A 13207-nucleotide genomic window follows, 5' to 3' on the forward strand; every position below is an offset into this window, starting at 1 on the left:
GTACCTTTCAGTGGGGGCAGTTCACCCCCAGGTAAAGGCAGTTTGGAATTTGGCAGGGATGTTTTTAATTGAGTGGGCAGTGGCCAGAAATGCTATCTGTCCTGCAATGTTCAAAACAGTCCCACCCAATGAAGAATTGTGCTGCTTCTCCCGTGGCTTTTCAATACCCCACCGGATCTCTGCATTGGTAGGACACCTACTTATAATTATCTGAGCCCAGAACCTCGTTCTTTTTCGTGTGTAAACACAGGGTGTTTTGGGTTTTTTGTTTTTGTTTTTGTTTTTGTTTTTGCATCCTTTTCATGTATGCTGAATTTGCCAGGAATGTGAGTCCCACGCAAATCAAGCAGAGCCTGTGCTTTGTTTTGTTCAGAAATTTATCAAAAGTCTTGCACCGTTTCAGAAAAAATTGCATCAGCAATAGTTAACACAGCTCATGTTTATGAGTCACCAGGACAACATGCCTGTCTCTGTCTGCTTTTGTAGCTGTCAATTCACAATTATTCTGAGACTCTGACTACTTTATTACGTATTTGAGTGTAGTTGTACCCAAGGGTTTACCTATTGAACTACATATATACATTTCTTTTGTTTTCCTTTGTATTACAGTTTGGCACTGTCTCAAATTTTTAAAAATTTGTGTGTGTGCATAGAGTAATATGATGTATGAATTTCATTTCAGAATAGTAAAGAGAGTATTAAAAATATTTGTTACAAACGGAGGAGCTGGGGCTGACAGGGCTGCAAAGTGCTGCAGGAGTCTCCATGCTTCTTCCCAGCACACGTGGGGGTTTTCTCCAGGTGCTCTGAAGACTGTCACATGGTCTAACTAATGTGGTTTAATATTGCCATTCTACAGATCAAGGCAGCGGCTAAGAGGACAAAATGACATGTCACAGTCACACAGCCTCCAGCCACAGAGTCAGGACCAAGAACCAGTCCTGAGGGCGTCTGCTTCTGACCACTCTTCACAAGCCTACAGATGCCAGACACCTGGAGACTCCACTGAACACCCTCATGTGTGCTGACCTCCCGATGGTTTATGGTTTTAGGAAGGGCGCCCAGACTGCATGGTCCAGGCCCCACTGAGAAGGGACGCCACGAATTTACCCAAGTCACCTGGGGTCTCCTCCACCCTCCCTGGAGCCTTCTTTGTCCACCTCTTCACTAGTTCTGCTAATGGGTCTCCAACATCTGGGTGTGTAAGAATGGTGATGGGAGGCAGAGGCAGACTGGGAGTTGCCAGCCACTCCCTCGGCGATTCCAATGCAGTGGGCTGGGCTCCAGGGATCTGCCTTCTCAACACATAGCCCAGATAATTCTGATGCAGGGACACCAGTAACCACACTTTTAAGAAACATAGCCTGAAAGGCGACAGTTTCCCTAGGTTTTGTCTTTGGGCTTCTTCTTCCTATTGACTCTCTCCCTTCTATGAAAAAAGGCTCTATAGCCAGGCACAGGGGCTCATGCCTATAATCCCAGCACTCTGGGAGGCTGAGGCGAGAGGACTGCTTGAACCCAAGAGTTCGAGACCAGCATGGGCAACACAGTGAGACCCCACCTCTTCAAAAAATAAAAAAATTAGCCAGGCATGGTGGCGCACACCTGTAGTTCCAGCTACCGGAAAGGCTGAGGTGGGAGGATTACTTGAGCCCAGGAGGTTGAGGCTGCAGTGAGCTATGATTGCACCACTGCGCTCTAGCCTAAGAGACAGAGTGAGACCCTGTCTCCAAAAAATTAAAAATAAAAAAAAGGTCCCAAATCTGTACTCCCATCCTTCACATTCTCCTGTTGTTCCAGACCTACAGCTCCTCCTGCATGTTTCCAACTGGACCTCCACGTTACAAATTAAGGTTTTTTTGTTTTTTTGTTTCTTTTTGTTGTTGTTGTTTTAGACACAGTCTCATTCTGTTGCCCAGGCTGGAGTGCAGGGTTGCAATCTCGGCTCATTGCAATCTCCCCCTCCCAGGTTCAAGCGATTCTCCTGCCTCAGCCTCCCAAGTAGCTGGGATTACAGGTGCCCGCCAGCATGTCTGGCTAATTTTTGTATTTTTAGTAGAGATGGGATAAACCATGTTGGCCAGGCTGGTCTCGAACTCCTGACCTCAGGTGATCCACCCACCTTGGCCTCCCAAAGTGCTGGGATTACAGGTGTGAGCCACTGCACCTGGCCTACAAATTAAGTTTTAAAACACCAACGTTAGACTCTCCTTTATTTAATGGGAGAAGAGACACTTACAAATGAGTAATCATTTTGAGATGTGGAAAGGGCTGTAATCGGGGGGGTGTAAAAGTTGTAATCATGTGCCAATCATAACGGACAACAGGGTACCTATGTCTTTGGCAATGGCAGAAGCAAGAGGCATGGAAGGCAAAGAGATCAATCAACCTGGAAGGATGAGGAGGACATTCCAGGTAAAGGGAGAGGCAGATGCAAAAGCAGGAAGGAATGAGCAAGAAAACCTTCAAAATCAACAAGAGCCTGTGGGCAAGGATGCTGGAGACCAGATATGGCAAGGAGAGGAGACAGTGGAGGGGCTGGATTCTGTTCTGTTGCCCAAACTACAGGAGAAACACCTCCCAGGAGCACAGTGAGCAATGGCAGATTGAAGGGGAAGGAGGGAGACTGAATAGAGCTTCCTTGGTCCAGGAGTTTCTCAACCCACAGGCCATTGAATTGGACTTGCAGACACCACTTTGAACCCTGGAGTCTAACTCATGCTTCATTCACAAACTATGCAATCAAATGACATACTGCGGCCACTCACCCCTGGTTTCATTTTTAACCCATGCATTGATGGAATCACAGGCAGAGGCTGGATCCTCAAAGTTCACATTCCGGACCTCACACTGGAACACATCTTTGTTCCTTGTAACAAAAGGCACTTCAATTTCAGAGGCATTCTTAACAAACACGGCGTTAGCCACTGTCACAATGTCTTTATTCTTCTTGGAGACGATGGCCTTGTTGATCTTCTTTAATATTTTACCAACTCCTAAAAGAGAAATCAGAAGATACAGCAATACTTCCATAAGAATCTAGAAAAGTTTTTAAAATCTTTTATGTTGCAGCAAGTAAGAACAGTATAGGCCAGGTGCAGTGGCTCACACCTGTAATCCCAGCAATTTGAGAGGCTGAGGTGGGTGGATTGCTTGAGCTCAGGAGTTTAAGAACAACCTGGGTAATATGACAAAACCCTGTCTCTACCAAAAATACAAAATTAACTGGGTGTGGTGGCACGCCTGTGATACCAACTACTTGAGGAGGCTGAGGTGGGAGGATCGCTGGAGCCTGGGAAGTCGAGGCTGCAGTAAGCCATGATCGGGCCCCTGCATACAGCCTGGGTGACTAAGCAAGACCCTGTCTCAAAAATAAAAATAACAGAACAGTATAAACAGGATAGCTATGAGTAGCAAGAAACTAAGTCTTCTGTTCTCTCAGGGGCCTATTTCTTAAGAAAAGGAGGGAGTGGGGTTAAAGTCTAACCACTGAAGCTCTCAAAAATCAACTGTGCTTCTGCATCAAAACAGGAATATTCAAGGTGTTCTCACCACCTTCCCAATGCAGACCTCATTCTCATGGTAGCCTTTCTGGGCACCAGGTCAGTATGAATGCTGGCACAGTCCTCAGTTCTATAGCCAAGGGGGAACAAATCAAAGGGAACTTCCTAATGCTTTCTCTCTTTCTTGTCTAACGTTATTAAGTGCTACTTCCTTTCTTGCCAAAGATTTAACAATGTAATTTCTTTTTTTCTATTTTGGAAAAAAAATGAATAAAATAAGCATTAGAAAGACTATAAAAAATTACCATGGGCCACCATCCAGAACAATGTGGTTTTTACTTGGTAACAAGCTCAAAGAGTAAGGAGATTAATTTTATGGCAACGTAAGCTTTATTTTACATGAGCCATTCATACATGCTCCATTTAGTTTGAGAGGGTGAAAAAGAGGCAAATAAGTTATAAGGATGAAATGTGTTTCTAAAGAGAGCTCAAATTACAGATCCTTCTTCATCGCTTGGGGTCTCTTCAAAATGGCACTGTCCTAAAACATCCTGCCAGAGTCACCTTGATGGTCCTCTAAAGAGCCGATTTGTCACTCTGAATGTGCGTCCTCTTCAGGCCTTTTACACGGGGGAGGGGGGCAGTCTTCTCAGGGCCCACAAACAGGGGCGTGTGTAGGGCTTTACAACGTGCATGGCCCTCTCTTAGATGCCCATGACCACACCTTACAATTGTTCTATGGTGCAGGCCCATTCTACAAGTAAGAAAACGGCCGGCTTTGGAGGCTGAAAGACAATTCCAAGGCCAACTGCCAGCTCCTGGCCCTTTTGGGGTAGGGGTGAGGCAGTGGTGGATGGCCAACGGGCCAATATTCTTAGAACTTCAGAAATAATGGCTTAAAATCAGTGTGGCTCAGCATTAAAACAAACAACAAAAGTCCAGTTGCTATTTTGGAACTGTCTCGGCCGACACAGCCTGGATCACACTAGGAAAGGTCATAAATTTTAGCAGTGATCCACCATGAAGTTATAAATCACCAGGAGTTTTCTGAACTTCCAAGCAAGGGGCAGAAGAGTGTGTTCCAAGTATTTAGTCCTTCCATGCTTCCAACAGGTGAACAAACTGCAAACTCGTACAGAAGTGTAATGCTGCATCAACAGAGCAGTGAGATTAGGCATTTGGTGCTGGCAGCCCTGGAGGCCACGCTGAGCAGAGTCGGAGGCGGGTGCAGAGCGAGGCACTGAAGGACACAAATCGCCACCTCACTGATCTTACTCTCCAGCTGACGACGCCAGTGCAGTCAAGATTCTCAGAACTTTCGGGCCAGCCTGGGTGGAAGAACACGGGCAGGAAGACTCCCTTGTTTCCAACGAAGGGAGCAGACCTAGATGTGAATGTGACTTTTGCAAGGTCACAGAGGGTGCTGGTGGCCAGGAAGAGGGGGGGAGCCAGTCCTGCTCCCCTGAGCACTGCATTTATGGAGACAGCAGGTGGGACATGGCTCTGGGCAAGACCCCTCAGCTGAAGTAAAACAGTGCCAGAGGATGAAGCTCGTGCAGTTAAATGGGTCATTTAAGAAAGGTTTTTCTTTAACTCAAACTAAATCTTTTTCATTGGGCCTTACTTTAAAACAATTTTTTTAGCTCGCTCTCTCTCTCTACGTATCTATCTATCTATCTGTATCTTTTCTTTAAGCTCTGGGATACATGTGCAGAACGTGTAGGTTTATTACATAGGTACACATGTGTCGTGGTGGTTTGCTGCACCCATCAACCTGTCATCTAGGTTTTAAGCCCCACATGCATTAGGTATCTGTCCTAATGCTTTCCCTCCCCTTGCCTTCCACCCCTCGACAGGCCCCAGTGTGTGATGTTCCCCTCCCTGTGTCCATGTGTTCTCATTGTTCAACTCCCACTTTTGAGTGAGAACATGCCGTGTTTGGTTTTCTGTTCCTGCGTTTGCTGAGAATGATGGTTTCCAGCTTCATCCATGTCCCTGCAAGGACATGAACTCACTCTTTTTTATGGCTGCATAGTATTCCATGGTGTATATGTGCCATATTTTCTTTATCCAGTCTATCATTGATGGACATTCGGGTTGGTTCCAAGTCTTTGCTTAGCTTTATATTTTGAAATAATTATAGATTTACAGGAAGTGGCAAAACAATATGCAAGGAAGTCCCACGTGCCTTTCACCCAGTCTTCCCAGTGGTACCGTCGTTGCATCAGGAAATTTCCATCAGGTCAGTCCACAGGGTGCATTCAGATTTCACTCATTTTCCATACACTCCTGTTGTGGGCTTGGGGAGGGGGGTCTGTGCAACTTTATCATTTGTGCAGATTTGTGTGGCCACCACCACAATCAAGACCCAGGATGGCTCCATCACTACGAGGCCCCTGGGCCCTCCACAGCCACCCCTTCCCAGCTCCTCTCACAGGCTTCACAAGCACATCTACGATCACAGCGCAACTCAACCCTGGGCGCCATGGAGGCGGTAAGCCAGGAAGTGTCCCCCTCGCTGGAACGAGGGCTGGAGCCCTGGGAAAGGAGACCTAGTGGCAGACCCCAAGCTCCAAAAGTACAAAAAAGGGACCAGAGTCTAGTTCTCCTAACTGCCAGCACCACAGTGTTTGTTCTTTAGAAGAGACTGACCCCAAGCCCCAAGTGGCACCAGCAAATCCCCTTCTGGCTGCTCTGCTTCTTGGGGTTGTCAGCAAAAACCAAGCCATAAACCCTCCTGTCACAAGACTCTCAGGCAAAGGCTCCGCCAGTGAGCAATTGTGCACACGCACCATTTACGCCGTATCTCATCACCATGGCGAGCTGCTTCTTGGTCCTGCCGTCCGCCCCCAGCTGAAGCATCCCCAGGACCGACGCAATCCCATGGGGAGAGATCACGATGTTGTCATGAGGCCTCGACTTCACAATCTGATTGAAAACCTGGATCCCCGTGTTGGAGCCTAGTTCCTCGAGAGACAGAGGATTGAAGTGGGAGCAGATGGAAGGCAGCGTCACAGAGGCCAAGAGGAAGAGGGGGAGATGCCAGTTCATGGTTCCTTCCACCAAGGACGACCTGGAAAAGTAAGTTAAAAAATATTTAAATTATACTTAAATGGGTACTTTACTACTTTTTTTTTTTTTCCCCCAGATAGAGACTCGTTCTTTCACCCAGGCTGGAGTGAAGTGGTGCCATCTCAGCTCACTGCAACCTCCGCCTCCTGGGTTCAAGCAATTCTCCTGCCTCAGCCCCCTGAGTAGCTGGAATTACAGGCGTGTACCACCATACACGGCTAATTTTTGTATTTTTAGTAGAGATGGGATTTCACCATGTTGGCCAGGCTGGTCTCAAACTCCTGACCTCAAGTGATCTGCCTGACTCAGCCTCCCAAAGTGCTGGGATTACAGGTGTGAGCCACTGTACCTGGCCTGCGAGGCCATTTTGTACTCACCTAGTATGCTTGACTGTACTCAGCATAATTGAATGCCATGTGAATATATTTAAGACAGAACAGTGTAATTAAATCAGTTTTCAAAACACACCCTGGGGAGGTGGGGAGGGAAAGGAAGCAAACTTCCATCTCTTGGGTCCTTACAATGTGCCAGGTCCTATACTAATCATTATTTAATTCTCGGTTATTTTATTTTTATTTATTTATTTATTTTGAAACAGTCTCACTCTGCTGCCCAGGCTGGAGTGCAGTGGCGCAATCTCGGCTCACTGCAACCTCCGCCTCCCGGGTTCAAGTGATTCTCACGTCTCAGCTTCCTGAATATGTGGGATTACAAGTGTGCGCCAACTCGTCTGGCAATTTTTTTTTTTTTTTTTTTTTTAGTAGAGATGAGGTTTCACTGTGTTTGCCAGGCTGGTCTCGAATGTCTGGCCTCAAGTGATCCGGCCTCCCAAAATGCTGGGATTACAGGCGTGAGCCACCATGCTCAGCCTAATCATTATTTAATTCTCATAAGTGCCCTTCATCCAATTAAGCCAATATTTACTGAGGGTTCACTGGGTGTCGGACCCTTTTCTAAGTGTTAGGCATATGACATAACTGAATGGACAAGACTCTCACCCGCACTGAGCTTACAATCTAGAAGGGAGACAGAAAATAAGCCAGCAAGCAATAAAGCATTTTCAGAAAAGGATAAAGAGCACAATGATAAAATACAGGGATGCGAGCAGATGAGGGGCCGGCAGGGTGCGGGGGGTGGTCATTAGATAGGGTGATCAGGGAGCCATCTCTATGGCAGGAACATCGTGATGAGACCTGAATGGGGGAAGGAGCCAGCCACACTCTGATGGGTAAACAGTACGCTGGGCAGAGGGAGAGCAGGGCCGAGGCCCTGACGTGGGAATAAACTTGGTGTATTAGAGGCCAGTGTGGATGTGAAATCAAGGTCGTAAAGAAGGGAGACAGGTGGGTGAAGCCGAAGGAGAGTTCAGATCTGGTAAGGTCCTGTAGAGCCTGGAAAGGCACTGGGATTTCACTCCAAGGGTTACAAGAAACCCCTGGAGGATTTCAAACAAGGGAGTGAATCCCTCGGGTTGCTCTGATTATCTTATAACCACAAGCGCTTGATTCTTTTACCATAAGCACACTGCTTTTAAAATTAAAGAATTATTAATTAAAATAAACTTAAGTGACTGCTTTAAAGTTACAATAGGGTAGGACAATTGGTAAATTCATCAATTTTGAGGATGGTGTTGCTTACACGGATGTTCTCAACTACAGTGATTTGTTTTAAAGAAGCTTCCTTCCTTAATTACCACTCACAGAGCTTTCTCTGGCTATGACAAGTAAGAGGTAGGAAATTTACATGTATTTATGGAAAAGCAAATACTTTCATTAAGTAAGAACTTAACAGTGGCAGCTGGTAAAACAAAAGCAGCATTCGTGATGTTGCTAATTCAGTTCTTCCCCAAGAGGCCCAAGCTCCTGCTAAGCACAGTCTCCCGTGGAGCCAATGTGTCCCACTCTGTTGTTACGTGTGGGAGGTTAGGGGTGACTGCAGAGAATAAAACAGAAGGGGGCCTTTTAAGAGACAGGTGACCTGGAGGGAGGGGGAAATCATGTCTCTGTGTGCTCTGGGGGAAAGCATGGGCACAACCACAGTGTTAGGCAAAACTGGCCCCGTATTTGGTGTCTCCTTGCCTTCCTTTCTACACACTTTCTGTGCTTCCCACCCTAGGGCGTAGGAGATGTTCAATAAACACTTGTGAGATTAATCCGATGGCTCATAAATACTTCCTATTTTTATTAATTAATCTTTCCCTGCATCACAACAGCGTTTATGGAGTGTGGCTAAGAAAACGCTTGTGTTTAATCCTGATCCTCACGGTCAGCTCAAGACACTCTCTGAGGGAAGAGCCACCATCACATCGAGCAAGGACTGTGGGCACACGCAGAACTCCCTGCCTGGCCCCCCGACACAGAGGGCCCCACTGTGAACCACTGAGGCCATCCTTCCAGCTGATGTTGCAAGTTTCTTATATGTTGTGAAACAAGCGCTTTTCTAAAGATTTAGAATGTTCCGTGTTTCTCCAGAGCTTCATTGTAAAACAATTGTATCAACTCAGCCCGTCTAAATTCAAAACATGTAAGTGACCTACATACGCTGCTCCCGCTTGGGCTCAACGGGCCAGCGTGGCCTATTTTGACTTTGGCACCTAGGACTGGCTCTAATGCCACGACAATCCCTGGAGTTTCCTGGAGCCTACTGGACTTTGGAGAGCGTCCAAATCATGACCGTGGAAGCTTTATTCATTCCATCTAAAAACTAGAAACTGTGTTCTCCCCTTCCTTCCTCCCTCTTGCCTTTTCTTTCTTTTGAGCAATAAATATCCTCTTTAAAATTTAATATAGCACAAAGTCATCATAAGTATAAAACATTGTGTACAATCTTTCTTACAAATGGCCAAATGCAGTGACCAACTTCATCCATCTCAATTGTTGTCTCTTGCATTATAGTCTATTCTGGTGTCTACATTCGGCCCACTATAATCTGTACTCCTGAAGCCTCCCCAAAGAAATGCTCCTAGATTAGTGAATATTTGAATAAATATTAGAATTTGGATTCAGAAGACATGAACATTAAACTGGTTTTGCCTCTGGTAGCTTAAAGTTGATAGACTCAAATACTACATATATATTATATATATGTAGTATTATATATTATATTATATAATATATAAATATATTTTATATATTTTATATATATTATATATATATATATATATATATATATATATAAAACATTGTAAAAACAGGGTGAAAGGATCAGTGACAGTGAGAAATCTAACAGCTCCAATGTCTTAAAGTCACAAGGACAGTCTCCCAAATAAACAGCCATCTTATTTAGCAGAATTCTGCTTCATTATAAATTTTCGCTAAAAGAACAGTTTTCCTATGACACGGAAGAAAGCTGTTATGGGTGTTTTTCTGGGTTTCTTGGACTTGGGAAGTTTTTGAGAGCTGTCTATGTACAGTTTCATAAAAGTGCACTGGGACAGTGTTAGAGCTGTGCAGAACTTGGAATCAGAGCTATTTTTGATTGATGTGCTGGGCAGAACTTCTCCTTGGCCTTGGTTTCCTAGGCCAAATGCTCACTCGTCTAAACTCACCTGGCTTATATACGTGTCTAAGAATAAGCTTTCATTTTTCTCCAAAGTTCAGTAGCCAGGAGAGTGGGTGTTGATCTATAAATTACTTTAGGCCTGCATAATTCCTAACAATGAAACACACTCATGTCCAAATAGACAATCGTTTACATGAAGTAACTTGGAGTTCTCAAGCTTTGAAATGCTTGATCTCTGGAACAAGCAGATGCCATAATGGGAAGTACATAGAAACCTCCTGTTTATTTTCCTTTTTAAGAGAAATTACACTTTAAACTTTCAAATCAGAGAGAAATAAGAGTGCTGCCCAAATGTACTGCATAGCAACAAGATGGAAGATTATCATTTGCTTGAATATTGTTTCACAACAGTAAAAATAGGTCTCTAGGCCATCATTGGAGGGAAGATCATAAGCCCATCAGTAGAGCCATCGCCACAGGCATATCCTTCCAAATGCCAGGTATCTCCTTCCCTATGTTCTTCTAGTTTCTCTTACTTCAAACCTTTCTCCTTTCCAATACGGGGAATGTTTATGAAATAGCTGGGTACTGCTTTGAGTTTTAACCATGATTTAACGTAGTAAATAATGGGATGGTAGTTTTGCAAATGCCAGACTCAAAATATAACCCTAACATTTATAAATAGACTGCTTGCCAATAGCAGACATTAGAGGAACCCACTCTCTATAGACCCAATGGCGTCAACCATCTCTTCTACACAGGTGATGCTCAAATATGCAGCTCAAATCCTCAAACTCTCTGCTGAATTGCAGTGCTATACTTTCAACAGTTTGCTACCTGTTTTCACTTGATCGTTCAGAAAAATTATCCACTGGTGGGGAGGGGTACTAGTCTCCAAAAATCTACCAACTCTTCTCTTTTTCAAGAATCATAGTTTCTGTTGAAAGAGCTTGCTTACCCAAGCCCGAGCCTCTGCTTCTCTCCCTTAGCCTCCACCTAGCAACAGTGACACTTCTACCCAACTCCTTCCACGGTGTGTGTGATGTTTTTCCTGATTGTTAAAGATGAGGTTCTTTATTCTCTTCTTTGAATTCCTATAGCATTTCCTATTTGCCTGTCTCATTTTAGTTGTTTTCCAAGTATGTTTTCTTTCCTCGCAAGTAGACTGGAAGCTCACGGAAAGCAGGGACTGTAGACTCCTGGTGCCCACAGGGTCAGTTTAGGGCCTTACCATTCATTGGTAGACACAAAATCAGAGGTTGACCCGTGGGACTAATCCAGCAAGTGTTTGATGTGCAATACAGAGTATTCTAAAAATATTTTTAGCAACTAAAAGTCAAAAAATGTCACAAGTCTAGATTAGGGTTATTCTCAGGAAAAATGAAAAAGAGTGGACGTTCTAGTACTACTGGACCCTCACCCCCATGGCAAATGTTCTGCACAGACGCCACCCCTTATGGGCTGGGCACCCACTTTCCAGCGTGCCTCGCTCCCGCTGCTCCCTGCTGCCTCACACCCTGCCATGGCCGCCACTGCCATCACCTCTCCAGGCTGTGTGAGCACCTGTGACGAGACCCCTTAGCCTGGAACCAGTGCTGAACAACTGAACAGTGGCAACTAGGATAGCCAGACACAAAACATGAAGCTCATTTTCTACCTAATAAATTCTTTTTATGAAATAAAAGTTTACATATAGTGCATGAACAAATGATAAATAATATGACACTAGTCTGCTCTATGTAGCATAATAAGTAAGTTGTAGGCAGACAGCTTGGTGGGAAAAACCACTGGAAAGACTCTTCTGGGTCCATTCATAGCTGGATGGTGCACACCTATTTTGGGAGGACACAGAAGCGTCTAATGAAGGAAAAGTTCTCCATGCTCTCTCATTCTCTATAAAAGGTTTAAAGTGATCATGTTTTATAAAACATACATATATTTTTAAAAACATTATATCATGGGAAATATCAAACATATGCAAATATTTAATACTCCCCCCCATACTCAACATCCAGAAAAAACAATTATTAACTCACGGCTTGGTTTATTTCTACTCAAATCAAAGATGATTTTGGAGTTAACTGCAGACATCATATAATATCATTCAAAATAATTTCAACATATAGACTCAGCCTAAGGATTTAAAATAGATATCCATGACATCATTATCACACCGCAAAATAACTCCTTAACATGTCAAATATCTAGTCCATGTTCGCATTTTTTATAGTATATTTGAATTACGATCTAAGTAAGCTCCATACATTGCAACTGGTTACACCTCTTGCCTTTGTTTTTTTGGTTGTTTGTTTGTTTCATCTTCCACTAGTTGCTTCATTTTTAACCTTGGAATTTTTTCTGTTGAAAAAAACAGGTTATTTGCCCTGTAGAGTTTCCCCAGGGTAGATTTTGCTAACTGCATTAATGTCATGCTGTTCAACAAGTTTCTCTGTCTTCTGTCCTTCCTGTAAACTGTTAGAGCTAGAGCAGGGGTCTGCAAGCTACGGCCCATGGGCCAGATCTGGCCACGCTTTTTTCTTTGTTTATGGCTGCATCTGTGCTATGATAGGGAGCTGAGCAGAGGTGCCCGGCTGCAAGAGAGACGGTATAGCCTGCAAAGCCAAAAACAGTTATTATGTGGCCCTCTACGTGAAAAGCCTGCTGACCCCAGCTGTAGGGACTGATCAGATTCAAGTCAATTTTCTCTTTTTGTAAGAATATTTTGTAGAGGTGCCGTAGAGGGTGGTGAAATCAGTAGACGGTAGCTGACTGTCTCTTTTTGTGGTGTTAGCAAGCTACTTATGATGACCGCCTAAGTGCACTGTTTTATTAAGAGTTACCAAATGTGGGTGCTGTTATAATTCTAACTTTCCTCCCTCACTTATTAATTAGAATATTTATATAAAAAGAAGTTTTCCATAATCAACTACTTGGTTGCCCTGAGGTTTATTTTGTGTTACAAGGGCAGGACAAATTCTTCATTCATTTCCCATATCCAACAGTTTTCAAAATAATTCAAAATAGGTTGATTGACCAGAGGGTTCTATTTTCTGTATCACTATAAACTCGTGTTTTTCAACATACTTTAAGGGTCTCGATCCACTGCAAATTTATTCTTATTGGTGCTCAAA

At 44.1% G+C, this 13207-nt stretch overlaps 1 protein-coding gene across 7 annotated transcripts in view; it reads right to left on the reverse strand.

Annotated features, from left to right (window-relative positions):
* The window catches only part of SERPINE2 (serpin family E member 2), a 64242-nt gene that overhangs the window by 20302 nt on the left and 30733 nt on the right, over positions 1–13207 (reverse strand). For all 7 annotated transcript variants that reach the window (NR_073116.2, NM_001136528.2, NM_006216.4 and 4 more), the window contains 2 exon segments: positions 6296–6576; positions 2769–2996 (listed from right to left, as the gene is read on the reverse strand). Coding sequence is in view for 6 of the 7 variants with exons in the window: in XM_005246641.3 (XP_005246698.1) it covers positions 2769–2996; positions 6296–6576 (509 nt within the window). In the remaining variant the exon portion in view is untranslated.

Source organism: Homo sapiens, chromosome 2, assembly GCF_000001405.40.
Source record: "Homo sapiens chromosome 2, GRCh38.p14 Primary Assembly".
NCBI classification, from domain to species: Eukaryota; Metazoa; Chordata; class Mammalia; order Primates; family Hominidae; genus Homo; species Homo sapiens.